The 16,792-nt window shown below is 39.7% G+C and overlaps 1 protein-coding gene across 6 annotated transcripts in view, besides 2 other annotated features; it reads right to left on the minus strand.

Moving 5' to 3' along the window:
- INTS7 (integrator complex subunit 7) overlaps positions 1-16,792 on the minus strand; it is a 95,155-nt gene that overhangs the window by 16,035 nt on the left and 62,328 nt on the right. For all 6 annotated transcript variants that reach the window (NR_037667.2, NM_001199809.2, XM_047417179.1 and 3 more), the window contains 3 exons: positions 12,076-12,270; positions 11,441-11,544; positions 9,993-10,061 (listed from right to left, as the gene is read on the minus strand). Coding sequence is in view for 5 of the 6 variants with exons in the window: in NM_001199809.2 (NP_001186738.1) it covers positions 9,993-10,061; positions 11,441-11,544; positions 12,076-12,270 (368 nt within the window). In the remaining variant the exon portion in view is untranslated. The remainder of the gene's footprint in view (positions 1-9,992; positions 10,062-11,440; positions 11,545-12,075; positions 12,271-16,792) is intronic.
- Positions 11,597-12,097: an enhancer, noted in NCBI's record as "H3K4me1 hESC enhancer chr1:212141376-212141876 (GRCh37/hg19 assembly coordinates)". NCBI's record gives its function as "activates a minimal SCP1, AML or CMV promoter by ChIP-STARR-seq in primed H9 embryonic stem cells {active_cell/tissue: H9 hESC(primed)}" and the evidence as "EXISTENCE:reporter gene assay evidence [ECO:0000049][PMID:30033119]".
- Positions 12,098-12,598: an enhancer, noted in NCBI's record as "H3K4me1 hESC enhancer chr1:212141877-212142377 (GRCh37/hg19 assembly coordinates)". NCBI's record gives its function as "activates a minimal SCP1, AML or CMV promoter by ChIP-STARR-seq in primed H9 embryonic stem cells {active_cell/tissue: H9 hESC(primed)}" and the evidence as "EXISTENCE:reporter gene assay evidence [ECO:0000049][PMID:30033119]".

Here is a 16,792-nt window from a genome sequence, read left to right on the forward strand (position 1 = left end):
ATTGTTGGACTGAACTTTTTAAAAAAATTTTTGTCTATGCTAATGAAGAATATTTAAATTTGTCCTGTTCACCTAAGCAAATTTCTTTGCACAAAGTTATTCTTCCCTTATTATGCTTTTAATATCTGTAAGATTTGTAATGATGCCACTATTTTATTTCTACTATTAGTGATTTATTTTTTTTCTTGCTCAGACTAGTTTTATCAATTTTATTAATCTTTTCAAAGAACCAGCTTCTGGTTTCACTGATTTTCTCTTTTGGCTTCTTTCACAGCATGTTTCGGAGGGCACGCATGGTTTCTGTATGACCTGCTGAATGATCAACAGGTCATTCATCTTTATTACTTAGTATTTCATTTGTGGATATACTACAATTTGTTTATCCATTAGCCTACTGAGAGACACTTGGGTTTTTCCAGATTTGTTACTATGAATAAAGATGCTATGAACATTTGTGTATACATCTGTGTGGAAACATGTTTTCATTTCTCTTCGGTAGAACAGTAGGAATAGAATTGGTGGTCATATGATAAATTTATGTTTAACTTTATATGACATTGTCAAACAGTTTTCCAAGTGGCTGTATCATTGTGTATTCCCAACAACATACTAGTATGAATTCAAGCTCCTCCACATCTGCACCAACATTGGACACTGAAGGTCTTTTTAATCTTATCTGTTCTAGTGGGAGTAGTATCTCATTGTGATTTTAATTTCTCTAGTGATTACTGATGTCAAGCATCTTTTCATGTGCCTACTGGATATTAACATACCTTCTTTTTTGAAGTGTCCAAAACTCTTACCAGTTTTATAAAATTGGATTGTCAGCCGGGCATGGTGTCTCATGCCTATAATCCCAGCACTTTGGCAGGCTGAGGCGGGTGGATCACCTGAGGTCGGGAGTTTGAGACCAGCCTGACCAATATGGTGAAACCCTGACTCTACTAAAAATACAAAAATTTGCTGGGCATGGTGACGCATGTCTGTAATCCCAGCTACTCGGGAGGCTGAGGCAGGAGAATCGCTTGAACCTGGGAGGTGGAGGTTGCAGTGAGCCGAGATCACACCACTGTACTCCAGCCTGGGCGACAGAGAGAGGATCCGTCTCAAAAAAAGAAAGAAAAATCGGATTGTCGAGTTGTATGGCGTTCTTAATAAAGCAATGTCTGAATAGAAGTCTTTTGATAGAATATGTTTTAAGAATATTTTCTTGCTGTCCGTAACCTTTTTCATTTTTTAAATGACATCTTAACAAAAGCAGATTTAAAAGTTTAAATCCAATTCAGCAAATTTTTCTCTTATGGTAACTGCTGTTTGTGTCCTAAGAAATCATGACCAATTTCAAGGTCATGAAGAGGTTTTCCAATGTAGTCTTCTAGAAAGTTTGGAGTTTTATATTTTAGTATTCCACTTTATGGCTCTACTGGCTTGTTTTATTTCTTGGTGGCTGCTCTAGAGTTTAAAATATTCACCCTCAGTTTATCAGAAGTTACTGTCAAATGATATACTACTAAATGTAAGATTCTTACTACTATATCCCCCCGTTGTCTTATTTCATATATTTTACTTCTATATGTTAAAAACTCCTAAACATCATTTTTGCTATAAACGGTCAAATATCTTTTTAAAAATTAAAAAAAAAAACAAAAACATTTACCACTTGTAATCCTTCTTACTCAGTTTTGTAGGTCTGAGTTTATATCTGAAATAATTTTCCTTCAGCCTAAAAAAGTTCCTTTAACATTTCTTGTAGTACAGATCTGCTGATGGCAAAATTTATCAGATTTTTTCTGAAAATGCCTTAATTTAACCTTGATTTATTGTATGGTATTTTTCCTGAATATGGAATTATAGGTTAACATTTTTTTTTCCAGGACTTTAAAGATGTTGCTCCACTTGTCTTTTGGCTTGTAATATTTCTGATGAGAAATCAGTAGATATTCTGATCTTTCTTCCCTTCTAAATAATATTTTCTTCCCTTCTAAATAATATCTTCTTTCTCTTTAAAAAATTTTTCTCTTTATCATTGGTTTTCAGCAATTTGATTGCTACGTGTGCCTTGCTCTAATTTTATGTTTTCCCTGCTAGAGGTTCATTAAGCTTCTTGGCTCTGTGGGTTTATATGTTTAATTAAATATAAATGACTTTTAGCCATTTAAATATTTTTCTGTTCCCCCTTTCCCTCTTTCTGGGATTCCAGTTACATGCATATTAGTCTAAATGACATTACCCCACAGGCCAGCTTTGACTCTTCATTTTTTCAGCCTTTTTTCTTCCTCTGTTCCAATCTGGGTAGAGAAATTTAAACTGCTTTGTTGATTATATTCTCTTTGAGGAAACTGATATTGGAATCTCAGGCCTTACTAGATTGAAATTATAGATAGTGTAAATGGGCAAGATGGCTGACTAGACACAGCCAGGTGGAACAGCTACCACCAAGGGACCAGGATGACTGGTCCTCTCCTAACAGATCTTTAGAGGGAAGAGATTAAGGGTGGACAGAGGGAAGACACAGAAGCTGGGCTGAAGGGGAGGAAGCTGGGAGGGACCCCTGCATGGGGATATCGCACCGGGGGAACAGTGACTTGAACTGGCAAAAAAACAACCAGCTACTGCCACGGGCCTCTGGAATCCTGGCAGGAGATTCCTCGACCACTATGGACACTTGAGTTGGCACAGAGGGCTGCTTAGAGAAGTGTTAGGGGCCGTATTCTAGCCAATGCAGAGCCCAAAGGGTTTGGTGTGTGAGCATCTGTAGTGGAATACGGCCAGGGGCAGCCATCCCTCTAGGCTTAACTTGCTGACTTGCTCCCATAGGAGACTTTATCCCTAAGGGAACTGTCAGACCTCAAGCCTACAGAGCAGTCTTGACGATCAGATGGGGCCAGTCCATCTGGCCTCTCCTGGGGCCCCAACCTGGCTGTGCCTGCTTGCAGTGCAGCCTTGGGTGTCCTGGGGGGCCTGCATCATAGCTCCTGTGCTTGTGGACTGCGCCTAACTGGTAGTGAGCTCCAGCACAGCGGCCCAGCATGTGGACATGGGCCGGCTCACCTGCTCCCTCCCCGTACTGGCAGCTTTCCCTGGGCCCATGGCCACCCTCGACATTGCTTTGCCTGCGTGTGCATGGGCAGATCTTGCCTCCCCAGCCCCACAAGTGCACGTTCACCTTGCCCTGCCACTGCTGCTGGTGCATTCTGCCCCCATTACCCCCGCATTACCGCCATTGCATTTGGAGCTCCTGTGTCAACATTGCCCTGGGAGTGAAACCAGGCGTGAACAACAATGGACCTTCCCCTGCCCTAAGTGGCTACCTCCACCTACATAAGAGGGCACACACAGTTCTGTGTCTGCCAGCGCCACGCCCCTATGCTTATACTACCACTAGTGCCATGGCGTGCAGTTACCAACAGGGTTCCCCTGCACCCCACCGGCCACCTGCGCTGCCTCTGCTGCTGCTGTGAAGGCCCACACAAAGGCCGGCATCCCAGACCTGCTAGTATCCTGCCGCGGTGGACAAGTGTGCATCCCGTTATGCTGCTGTTGCTGCTGCTGGTATGTGCAACTGAGGATGGATCCTGCTGCCAACATCCTAATGAAACGCCTTGGCTGGCACCACCCATTGGAGTGTAGTAACCAGTGGCCCTGGAGCACCTTGGCCCCCTACCCAGCGCAGTCAGTTCCTAGCCTCAAGGAGCCAGAGAACAAAGTTGAGGCTCATATCAGTCCCCCAGAGCAGGTAGTCCAGGAGTTATGAGCTGAGCCTTGGCTCCCTGAAATCTTCTGGAAATGAAGCCAGTTGATTAAACCCACCTTATACCACAATCAAACTCTCAAGGTCATCAAATAGGATTAAAAAAAAAAACATGCAAAGGACAGCAACTTCAAAGATCGAAGGACCATCAGCCCACAAAGACGAGAAAGAACCAGTGCAAGAACTTTGACAACTCAAAAAGCCAGAATGCCTTTTTTCTTCCGAATGACTGCACTAACTCTCCAGCAAGCGTTCTGAACTGGGCTGAAATGGCTGGAATTACAGAAACAGAAATCAGAGTATGGATGGGAATGAAGATCATCAAGAAGGAGGAATACATTGAAACCCAATCCAAGGAAGCTAAGAAGCACAATAAAATTATACAGGAGCCAAAAGACAAGAATAACCAGTATAAAAAAGAATGTAACCAACTTGATAGAGTAGAAAAACAAACTGCAATAATTTCATAATGCAATCCTTAAAATTAATTGCAAAGCAGACCAAGCTGTGGAAAGAATCACAGAGCTTGAAGACTGGCTTTCTGAATAAGAGAGTAAGACAAGAATAGAGAAAAAACACTTTGGGAGGCTAAGATGGGTCGATCACTTGAAGTCAGGAGTTTGAGACAAGCCTGGCCAACATGTTGAAATCCCGTCTTTACTAAAAATAAAATAAAATTAGCCAAGTATGGTGCTGCATGCCTGTAATTCCAGCTACTCAGAAGGCTGAGGCAGGAGAATCACTTGAACCTGAGAGGCAGAGGTGGCAGTGAACTGAGATCGCGCCACTGCACTCCAGCCTAGGCAACAGTGAGACTCTGTCTCAGAAAAAAGAAAAAAAAATAGAGAAAAAAGAATGAAAAGGAATGAACAAAACCTCCGAGAAATATGGGATTATGTAAAGAAACCGAATCTACAACTCACTGATGTCCTGAAAGAGATAGGGAGAATGGAAGCAACTTGGAAGACATATTTCAGGGTATCATCCACGAGAACTTCCCCAACCTAGAAAAAGAGGCCAACATTCAAATTCAGGAACTGCAGAGAACCCCAGTAAGATACTTCACAAGGTCATCCTCGAGACATATAATCATGATTCTCCAAGGTCGCAATGAAAAAAGAAAAAAAAAGGCAGCTAGAAAGGTCAGGCCACCTACAAAGGGAAGTCCATCAGACTTAACAGCAGACCCCTTTGAGCAGAAACCCTACAAGCCAGAAGAGACTGTGGGCCAATATTCAATTCTTTTTTTTTTTTTTCCTGAGATGGAGTCTTGGTCTGTTGCCCAGGCTGGAGTGCAGTGGCATGATCTTGGCTCACTGCAACCTCTGCCTCCCGGGTTCAAGAGATTCTCCTGCCTCAGCCTCCTGAGTAACTGGGATTACAGGCACGTGCCACCATGCCCGGCTAATTTTGTATTTTTAGTAGAGACGGGGTTTTACCATGTTGGCCAGGCTGGTCTCAAACTCTTGACCTCAAGTGACCCTCCCACCTCGGCCTCCCAAAGTGCTAGGATTACAGGTATGAGCCACCTTGCCCGGCCTCAACATTCTTAAAGAAAAGAAATTCCAACCAAGAAATTCATATCCGGCCAAACTAAGCTTCATGAGTGACAGAAAAATACTATCTTTTTCAGACAAGCAAATGCTGAGGGAATTTGTTATCACCAGACCTGCCTTATTAGAGCTCCTGAAGGAAGCACTAAATATAGAAAGGAAAGACCAGTCACTACAAAAACATACTTAAGTACACAGACCAGTGAGACACTATAAAGCAACCACACAAACAAGCCTGCATGATAACCAGCTGCTATCATGATGACAGGATCAAATCCATACATCAATACTAACCTTTAATGTAAATTGGCTAAATGCCCCAATTACAAGGCACAGATTGGCAAGGTGGATAAAGAACCAAAACTCAATGGTATGCCAAGAGTCTCATCTCACATGCAATTACATCCATAGGCTCAAAATAAAGAGATAGAGAAAAACCTAACAAGCAAATGAAAAATAGAAAAAAGCAGCAGTTGCAATCCTAAATCAGACAAAACAGACTTTAAACCAACAAAGATTAAAAAAAAAAAAAAAAAAAAAAGACAAGGGTATTACATAATGGTAAAAGGTTCAATTCAACAAGAAGACCTAACTATCCTAAATACATATGCACCCAACACAGGAGCACCCAGATTCATAAAGCAAGTGCTTAGAGACCTTCAAAGAGACTTAGACTCCCACACAATAATGGTGAGAGAATTCAACACTCCATGACAGTATTAGATCACTGAGGCAGAAAATTACAAAGATATTCAGGACTTAATCTCAGCACTGGATCAAATGGACCTGATAGACATCTACAGAACTCTCCACCCAAAAACAACAGAATATACATTGTTCTCATCATCATCTCATGGCACATACTCTAAAATCAGCCACACAGTTGGACACAAAACAATCTTCAGCAAATGAAAAAGAATGAAAATAATAACCACTTTCTTGGACCACAGCACAATAAAATTAGAAATCAAGACCAAGAAAATCGCTCAAAACCATACAATTACATGGAAATTAAACAACGTGCTCCTGAATGATTTTTTGGCAAGAAATGAAATTAAGGCAAAAATCAAGAAGTTCTTTGAAACTAATGAAAACAAAGAAACAACATACCAGAATCTCTGGAACACAGCTAGTGTTAAGAAGGAAATGTACAGCACTAAACACCTACATCAAAAAGTTAGAAAGACCTCAATTTACAAAGTAACATCACAACTAAAAGAACTAGAGAATGAAGAGCAAATCAACCCCAAAGCTAGAAGACAAGAAATAATCAAAATCAGAGCTGAATTGGAGACTGACACACAAAAAAAATTCAAAAGATCAACAAATCCAGGAGTTGGTGTTTTGAAAAAAAATTAGTATCTATTTGATAGACGGCTGGCTAGACTAATAAAGAGAGAAGATCCAAGTAAACACAATTAGAAACAACAAAGAAGATATTATCACTGACACCACAGAAATATGAACACCTCTATGGACACAAACTAGAAAATCTAGAAGGAATGGATAAATTCCTGAACATACACTCTCTCCCAAGACTGAACCAGGAAGAAACTGAATCCCTGATGAGACAAATAATGAGCTCTGAAATTGAATCAGTAATAAACAGCCTACCAACCAAAAAAAAAGCCCAGGACAAGATGGATTCACAGTCAAACTCTACCAGGTATACATAGAAGAGCTGGTACCAGTCCTACTGAAGCTTTTCCAAAAAAATTAAGGAGGAGGGACTCCTCCCTAACTCATCTACGAGGCCAGCATCACCCTGATACCAAAACCTGGTGGAGACACAACAACAAAAACCTCAGGCCAATATCCCTGATGAACATTGATGCAAAAATCCTCAAAAAATACTGGCAAACTGAACCCAGCAACAAATCAAAAAGCTTATCCACCACCATCAAGTAGGCTTTATCTCTGGGATGCAAGGTTGGTTCAACACATCCAAATCAATAAATGTGATTCATCACATAAATGGAACTAAAGCCAAAAACCACATGATCATCTCAATCAATGCAGAAAAGGCTTTTTGATAAAATTCCATATCCCATTATATTAAAAAAAAAACTCTGAATAAACTAGGAATTGAAGAAACATACCTCAAAATAATAAGAGTCACCTATGTCAAAACCACAGCCAACATCATACCAAATGGGCAAAAGCTGGAAGCATTCCCCCTGAAAACCGGCATAACAAAAGGATGCTCTCTCTCACCACTCCTATTCAACATAGTATTGGAAGTCCTGGCCAGAGCAATCAGGTGAGAGAATGAAATAAAGGGCATCCAAATAAGAAGAGAGGAAGTCCAACTATCCCTGTGTGCAGACATGATACTATATCTAGGAAAGCCAATAGTCTTGGCCCACAAGCTCCTTAAGCTGATAAACAACTTCGGCAAAGATCCAGGATACAAAATCAATATAAAAAATCACTAGTATTCCTATATACCAACAACAGTCGAGCTGAAAGCCAAATCAGGAATGCATTCCCATTCATGACTGTCACAAAAAGAATAAAATACCTAGGAATACAGCTAACTGGGGAGATGAAAGCAAAACACTGCTCAACGAAATCAAAGATAACACAAACAAACGGAAAAACATTCCATGCTCATGAATAGGAGAAATCAATATTGTTAAAATGGCCATACTGCCCAAAGCAACGTATAGATTCAATGCTATTCCTATCAAACTGCCAACGACATTCTTCGCAGAATTAGAAGAAACTATTTTAAAATTCATATGGAACCAAAAAGAGCCCAAACAGCCAAGGCAATCCTAAGCAAAAAGAGCAAAGCTGGAGGCATCAGGCTACCCAACTTCAAACTATACTACAAGTCTACAGTAACCTAAACAGCATGGTACTGGTATACAAAAAGACACACAGACCAATGGAATAGAATAGAGAGCCCAGAAACAAGGCCACACACTCCTACAACCATCTGATCTTTGACAAAGCTGACAAAAACAAGCAATAGGGAAAGGATTTCCTGTTCAATAGATGGTGCTGGGATAACCGATGTCATATGCAGAAGATGGAAACTGGACCCCTTCCTTACACCACAGACAAAAATCAACTCAAGATGGATTAAAGACTTAAATGTAAAACCCAAAATGATAGAACCCTGGAAGACAACCTTCAGGACTAGGCATGGGCAAGGATTTCATGACAAAGATGCCAAAAGCAATTGCAACAAAAGCAAAAATTGACAAATGGGATCTAATAAAACTAAAGAGCTTCTGCACAACAAAAGAAACTATCCACAGATTAAACAAACAACCTACAGAATGGGAGAAAATTTTTCTAACTATGCATCTGACAAAGTTCTAATATCAAGCATCTATAAGGAACTTGAATTATTTACAAGAAAAAAACAAGCCCATTAAAAAGTGGGCAAAGGACATGAACACTTTTCAAAGACATACACATGGCCAACAAGCACATAAAAAAAAAAAAACTCAACATCGCTGATCATTAGAGAAATGCAAATCAAAACCACAATGAGATACCATCTCACACCAGTCAGAATGGCTATTATTACATCATCAAAAAATAACAGAAGTTGGTGAGGTTGCAGAGAAAAGGGAACCCTTATACACTGTTGGCGGGAGTGTAAATTAGTTCAACCATCGTGGAAAGCACTGTGGTGATTCCTCAAAAAGCTAAAAACAGAATTACCATTCGGCCAAGAAATCCCATAACTGTGTATATACCCAAAGGAATAGAAATCATTCTATCATAAAGACACAGGCACACATATGTTCACTGCAGCACTACTCACAATAGCAAACACATGGAATTAACCTAAATGCCCATCGATGGCAGACCAGATAAAGAAAATGTGGTACATATGCATCATGAAATACTACGCAGCCATAAAAAAGAAGATCATGTCCTTGGCAGGAAGATGGATGGAGCTGGAAGCTATTATCCTCAGCAAACTAACGCAGGAACAGAAAACCAAATACCACACGTTCTCACTTAGAAGTGGGAGATAAATGATAACATATGGAAACATAGAGGGGAACACCACACACTGGGGCCTACCTGAGGGTGGAAGGTGGGAGGAAAAAGAGGACCAGAAAAATAACTATTGGGTACTAAGCCTAAAATCTGGTCAATGAAATCATTTGTACAACAAACCCCGGTGACACGAGTTTACCTATATAACAAACCTGCACATGTAACACTGAACTTAAAAGTTAAAAAAGAAAGAAAATGTATATTCCAAAAGAGAATACTATAATAGGAAAAGAAAAAGGAATCATTCTTTAATGAAAACAACTATTTTGAATAATTAATTAGTTATTGGGGGAGGGGAAAAATTTAAAAGAGCAAAACCAGGGATATTTTGGTTTAAGAAGCCAAAGGAAAAAAATCTCAAGTTCAAGTTTAATTGTATCATTAACTCAATTTTTCGTAGTATAATTATAATATACAAGAAGAAATTGCTCATATTCAAAGAATGTCTTCCCAGTTATCTTTCCATGTTAACTTTTTGAAAACAGGAGGCAGGAGGTAAATCTATGTTTTGTCACTAGTTATGTGACCCACAAAAAATGCTGAAGAATTCTTCCACTTTGTTTTTACTTCCATAGTACTAGCTCCAAAATAGTCTTCTGATGATTAGGTAAGACAATGTATAGAAAGTGTTCTGTAACGCCAACTATTATTAATATTAGAATTACCTTGCTGATTCTGGATCCAAAATCAGGGCTTCTATTGCATGAGATATCAGTAAACAGCTCTGCTGCTGTCTGGATTGATGTTAAGGTTACATACGAAAATAGAGAAGAAACCCGCTATAGGTTTCTATTACTTGAATACTAAATTGGTCAAGATTTAATGATTGCCTAGTGAAGGTAATCATAATGTTATCAACTCGAATGGTCTGGGGCTCTACCTTTTCTTTTTAAGGGATATACATTGTCTATAATAGTGATCCTCAGACTCTGTTCCAAGAAGGGTACTTCGGAGGCTACTACTGTGGGAAGGGGAAATCAAGTGATAGGCCCCGTGATTCAATTACAGCAAGTCTGTTTTTATCTGTCTTAGATATAGGGGTTTTTCATAAGAGTTTGAGACAAACAAGCAAATAAAGCTTTCACTGATAAAAGTTAAAAAAAAAATAGAAACAAAAACAAAACACAGTGGTCTAAGGAGCCTTTATCCCAGAGGTTCCTAATCTAGTGCTCAAGAGGTCTGGCAACTCCCTGAACTTACATGCACATTTTGGGTGTCTCTGTATATATGCATTTTGTAGGGCAGAGGGCCCATAGCATTCACTGGGTTTCAATCAGTAAACTAAATGCCAAGAACTACTGATTGGAAAGTCCTACAACTTAAAAAAAGAATTTCTATTCCTTCCTTTCAAAAGTGATTTGAAGTTGCTAATAAGAAAATATGGAGAACTTAGGAAGGGTTTAAAAGTGACGACCAGGCTGGGCACGGTGGCTCACGTGTATAATCCCAGCACTTTTAGGTAGATCACTTGAGGCCAGGAGTTTGAGACCAGCCTGGCCAACATGGTGAAACCCCGTCTCTACTAAAAATATAAAAATTAGCCAGGTTGTGGTGGCACACACCTGTAATCCCAGCTACTAGGGAGGCTGGGGCAGGAGAATCGCTTGAACCCAGGAGGCAGAGGTTGCAGTGAGCCAAGATCATGCCACTGCACTCCAGCCTGGGCAACAGAGTGAGACTCCATCTCAAAAAAAAAAAAAAAAAAAAAGTGACAACTAATGCTACTGAAGAGATCATTAATAAAGGTGATAAAAACTAGGACTGTTGGCCACAAAGAAAGGTGAGGTGAAATACATGTTCTTTGGTGGGAAAATGTGTTGTGTTGTCTGTTGTAGCTCAAGTGAGCACAGGTAAGCAACACTGGCTTTGGATGTTGCTTTGGATGCTCTTTCTGGATATAAAAAAGACACCTTCGAGTCACCATTTTTTGTTAAAATCCTGGGTAAAGTTAAAAAGTAAGATTATTCTGCTTATATATTTTAAAGGGGAAACTATATAATAAATTTATAGGGTTATTTAACATGTATTTTGTAGGTAAGCATATCTGAGGTAGTCCGTATTTAAAAGAATACTTCCAAAAAGAACAAGAAGTACTAGGGCAAGCTTGGGATACAGTTCAACATTCCTCAAAGTTGCTGAGTCAGCATCAAAAGATGCCTGGTAAAGATCTCCATATCGAGAAGCAAGGCTTCGAAATTCTTCCATGGACTGTTTCATCTATAAAAAAAAATCAATTATGACAAACAAACATGCTATCATTATTGTATAAACAACACAAAAACCAAAACAAAAAAAAGCACCTTCAAACAATAACAATTCAAAAAAAATACTGCCATCTTTTCACTGTCATTCCATTCATTTTCATAAACTTTGTTAAATAAAAACAAAAATGGCAAATGAAACTATACATGTTCACAAGATTATTATATATGACATATAGAAACAAAAACATTTGTATTTTAGCGTCTTCAAGTTCCACTAAAATAATTTAGTTATAAACATTCTCAAGTTTTTAAAAAAATCTGTCCTTTCTCTTTATATAAATATGTAGCACCCATTGAGATAACATGAATCACTTTATCTTTCTAATAACACATCAGCCTATTTTTTAGCCAGACAGTTGAGTGAATAAACATTTATGATAATGTCTGAGTCAAACCACTGATTTTATATTTTACAACTTTTCATCTTATAACTTCGAAAACCTCTAAAGTGTAAATAAAAAATGCACTGAAAGTTAAGACATGCCTGATTGGAGATGCGACCACACCTCTGGAGGTCATTTCCTAAGGTCATGGCAATTGTTGTGGCAATTGCAGGTGGTGGGCTTGTCTTCAGGCTATTACAAGTACAGATAAGTTGAGAGAAGGCTTGTAAAAGGTCAATCCTGAGTTTTACAAATTCACACTGAAAGCTTAAAGGATTCAGTGGTGTACTAGCTGCCTGGGAAAAAAAAAAAAAAGAGATATTTAAGACAAAGTAAACAGAACAGTGAGATGGGGCAGTACCAAGTATTTATCAGTTTGTGGTCAAGTGCAGTAGTTCTCTAAAAACACTGACGGATAAAGACCTAAATGATAAAAAGAATAATGTAATATTAGAATGAAAAATATTGTTATTAAACACCAGCTCTGAAAAACTGTATGTACAACCACTATTCAAAGGTTCCTTACTGCCTACATTCACAAAGACCCCATAATATGTGAATTGTCAAGAACATCATCAAGAAGATAATCACGGCCAGGTGCGGTGGCTCACGCCTGTAATCCCAGCACTTCGGGAGGTCGAGGCGGGTGGATCACAAGGTCAGGAGATCAAGACCACCCTGGCTAACATGGTGAAACCCCGTCTCTATTAAAAATACAAAAAAATTAGCTGGGCGTTGTGGCGGGTGCCTGTAGTCCCAGCTACTCGGGAGGCTGAGGCAGGAGAATGGCGTGAACCCGGGAGGCGGAGTCTGCTGTGAGCCGAGATTGCACCACTGCACTCCAGCCTGGGCGATAGAACGAGACTGTCTCAAAAAAAAAAACAAAGAAAAAAGAAGATAATCGCATAAGGGATGCTTCAAGGACATTACCATCCCCCAAAATCCCCTATTACTTTGCTACCTTCCTAATCTGAAATTCCCATCACTGGAACCTTGTAAAGTCGGGGGCAGAAAGAAAAAGAAAGATAAGGGCAGGAGGAATATGTTTCTAGACAGTCACTGTTTTTAAAAAAAAATGGACATTGCCTCAAAGTTACCCTCTTCCACTGCTAGCCCAAATTTCTTTTTCTTTTTCTTTTCTTTTTTTTTTTTTTTTTTTTTTGAGACAGGGTATCATTCTATCACCCAGGCCGGAGTGCAGTGGTACAATCATGTCTCACTGCAGCCTCAACTTCCTGGGCTCAAATTATCCCCCCACCTGAGTTTCCCAAGTAGCCGGGACTAAGGGTGCGTACCACCATGCCTGGCTAATTTTTTTTTTTTTTTGAGACAGTTTCGCTCTTGTTGCCCAAGCTGGAGTGCAATGGCACGATCTCGGCTCACTGCAAGCTCCGTCTTCCGGGTTCAAGCAATTCTCCTGCCTCAGCCTCCTGAGTAGCTGGGACTACAGGCGCCTGCCACCACGCCTGGCTAATTTTTTGTATTTTTAGTAGAGACGGGGTTTCACCGTGTTAACCAGGATGGTCTCGATCTCCTGACCTCATGATCGGCCTGCCTCAGCCTCCCAAAGTGCTGGGATTACAGGTGAGAGCCACCGCGCCTGGCTGTGCCCAGCTAATTTTTTTTTGTAGAGACAGGGTCTCACTATGTTGCTCAGGCTGGCCTCAAACTCCTGTAGCTCAGATTAATTTTAAAAATAATTCCTGAGTAGACACTTCAGAAAGCACAGAGAAGACACCAAGGAAGAAGAGGTTATAACACACAAATAAGTTTCAATGAGGATGGAGGGGTATCAGGGGTAAGTCTTGGGTAGCATTAGCTAGGTAGAAAAGGTAAATGGTAAGGCAAGCCAGGGTGGGCAGAGAACTAAGAAAACCTTTAACTATTTGGCAACTGTCCTAGTGGAGATCCTAGCACTATGTAGTTTTAACAAAAGGCACATACTAAAAATGTGCTAATTTAACAATAAACAGAGGCATAGTGAAAATTTTCCTCTATGACATGACACACTTAAAACACGCTGATGCTGTTTCTTAGATACTATCTCACATTAGTCTTTTAGCAAAAGAGCCAGACATGATTTTGGGGTTCTAGAAGTCAGTTACAATATTATCTGGCCAATTTTACCTCATATTGACCTTAGCAAACAAAAGATTAGTATCCAGAACATATAAAGTACTCTTATAAACCAGTAAGAAAAAGACATAAAAACTAGTAGGAAAATGAGCAAAAATCTTCAAAAGGAACTTCACAGAAAATAAAACACAAATGGTCAAACATATGAAACAAATGTCTAATTGTATTAGTAATCCGGGAAAAGCCAATCATAAGCTTTAGAACCTACCAGACAAAGAGAAAAATGTATGGCAATAGGAACTCTTATACACTGCTGGGAGGACTTTAAATCTGTAAAGCCACTGGGAAAAAACTGGTATTAGCTAGTCAATTTAAAGATGCACATAACCTGTGCAATTCCACTCTTAGGTAATATCTTACAGCAATATCTCTAAACAGGAACAGGAGTATTCTTAGCATTGCAGGAGATTAGGTATTTAGCTACTGACCATTACTACCAGTAGCAATGCTTCCCAACTCCCCATCACTGTGACAAAAAGAAACATCCACACACACTTCCAAATTGGAGCAGGGGGAAGATACACAGCTCCGAGTGAGGTCCACTGCCCTAGAGAAGGGTGTTTCTCTACTTGAGTACTACTGACATTCTGAACTGAATAAATTCTTTGTTGAGGGGGGCTCTCCTGTGCATTCCCTCTGCACTAAATACCAGTAACAACTGGGCAAGTGGTGATAGCCAAAAAACGCTCCAGATACTGCCAAATATCCCCTGGAGGATAAAACCATCCCTGGTTGAGAACCACTGTCCTAGAGAAACCTTTGCAGTAAGTGCATCAAAAGATATGTACAAGAATGTTCAGAGCAGTATGTTGGTAACAGCAAGAAACTGGAGAAATCAAAATGCTTATCAACACTATAGAGTGGGAAAATAAATTGATGTATATTCTTATGATGCAAGACTATATGGCAGGGAAATTGACCTACAGCTTCCTGCAACAAAATGGATGAATCTTAGGAACATAATTTAGATGATCAAAGCAAGTCAAAGAAAAATATGACTCCTTTTTACATAAAATTCAAAAACAAGCAACATAAAACAGAACTTTCTTTAGAGTTACAAAAAAGCATGTTGAAATTACAAAGAAAGGGCCGGGCATTGGGCTCACGCCTATAATGCCAGCACTTTGGGAGGCCAAGGCGGGTGGATCACCTTAGGTCAGGAGTTCGAGACCAGTCTGGCAAACATGGTGAAACCCTGTCTCTACTAAAAATACAAAAATTAGCCAGGCATGGTGGAGAGCGCCTGTAATCCCAGCTACTTGGAAGGGTGAGGCAGGAGAATCACTTGAACCTGGGAGGTGGAGGTTGCAGTGAGCCAAGATCGTGCCACTGCACTCCAGCCTGGTGACAAGAGTGAAACTCAGTCTCAAAAAAAAAAAAAAAAAAAAAGAAAAGAAAAGAAAAAGAAAAAGAAAAAATTATAAAGAAAGGCAATGGAACAGTAAACACAAGATGCAAAGTACTGTTACCTTTGTGGAAAGGAAACAGTATACAAATGTGGAGGTGCACATAAGAATTTTACTTTTTTTCTCTTTAGGAGACAGTGTCTTGCTATGTGACCCAGGGTATTATTCACAAGCATATAAGAATTTTAAAAGGTAATGGTAATGTCCTATTTTCTAACTGGATGTTTGGATATTTGTTGTATTTTTTTATGCCCTACATAATACATGTGTAGATATTATGCCTATTCAATATTTAATAACAAAAATTAAATGATTAAAAAAAAACTATTGTAGGAAGAACGCTAAGCTGGTTCCTCTGATTCAAGTTCCCTGGTATCCACACCTTGGGCAGGCTGAATATCACTAGTTTGAAAACCTAAAATCTGAAATGATCCAAATTCTGAAATGCTCCAAAATCTGAAACTGACATGATGTTCAAAGGAAATGTTCATTGGAACGTTTCAAATTTTGAATTAGGGAGGTTCAACTGGCATAATGCAAATATTCCAAAATCCAAAGAAACCTCAAAATACAAAACACTCCTGGTTCCAAGCATTTTACATTAAGGAATACTAAACCTACAACATCTTTTGAAGGTGGATAGCACCCAAAACTTGCTTCTAACTAATGGAATATGGCAAAAGTGATGAGATTTTGAGGATGTAGTTTAGGTCCCTAATGAATTGACTTTATATTAGTAGAAAGGGAGATCATTCTGAGTGAATCGGATCTAATCAGTTGAGGCCATTAAAAGAGGGTGAGAGATTCTCTTGCTGGTCTGGAAGAACCAGGTTCCACAAGTTCTTCAGGTGCAAGGAAATACATTCTGCAACAAATTCATGATCTTAGAACAGGACCCTGAGCTTCCTTGAGCCTCAGATATCTGAGACTGGCCCTCACAGACACCTTGATTGCAATTTTGTGATACCATGAGCAGAGGACCCAGCTAAGCCATGCCTGGACTACTACTGCTACTTCTCTTTTTTTTGAGACAGAGTCTCAGGCTGGAGTGCAATGGCACAATCTCAGCTCACTGCAACCTCCTCTTCCCAGGCTCAGGTGATTCTCCCACCTCAGCCTCCTGAGTAGCTAGGACCACAGGCGCATGCCACCATGCCTGGCTAATTTTTTTTTGTAGAGACGGGGTTTTCCAACATTGCCCAGGCTGGTCTCAAACTCCTGGGCTCAAGTGATCCTCCCATCTTGGTCGCCCAGAGTACTGGGATTACAGGCATGA

This window comes from Homo sapiens, chromosome 1 (assembly GCF_000001405.40).
Source record: "Homo sapiens chromosome 1, GRCh38.p14 Primary Assembly".
Lineage (NCBI taxonomy): Eukaryota > Metazoa > Chordata > Mammalia > Primates > Hominidae > Homo > Homo sapiens.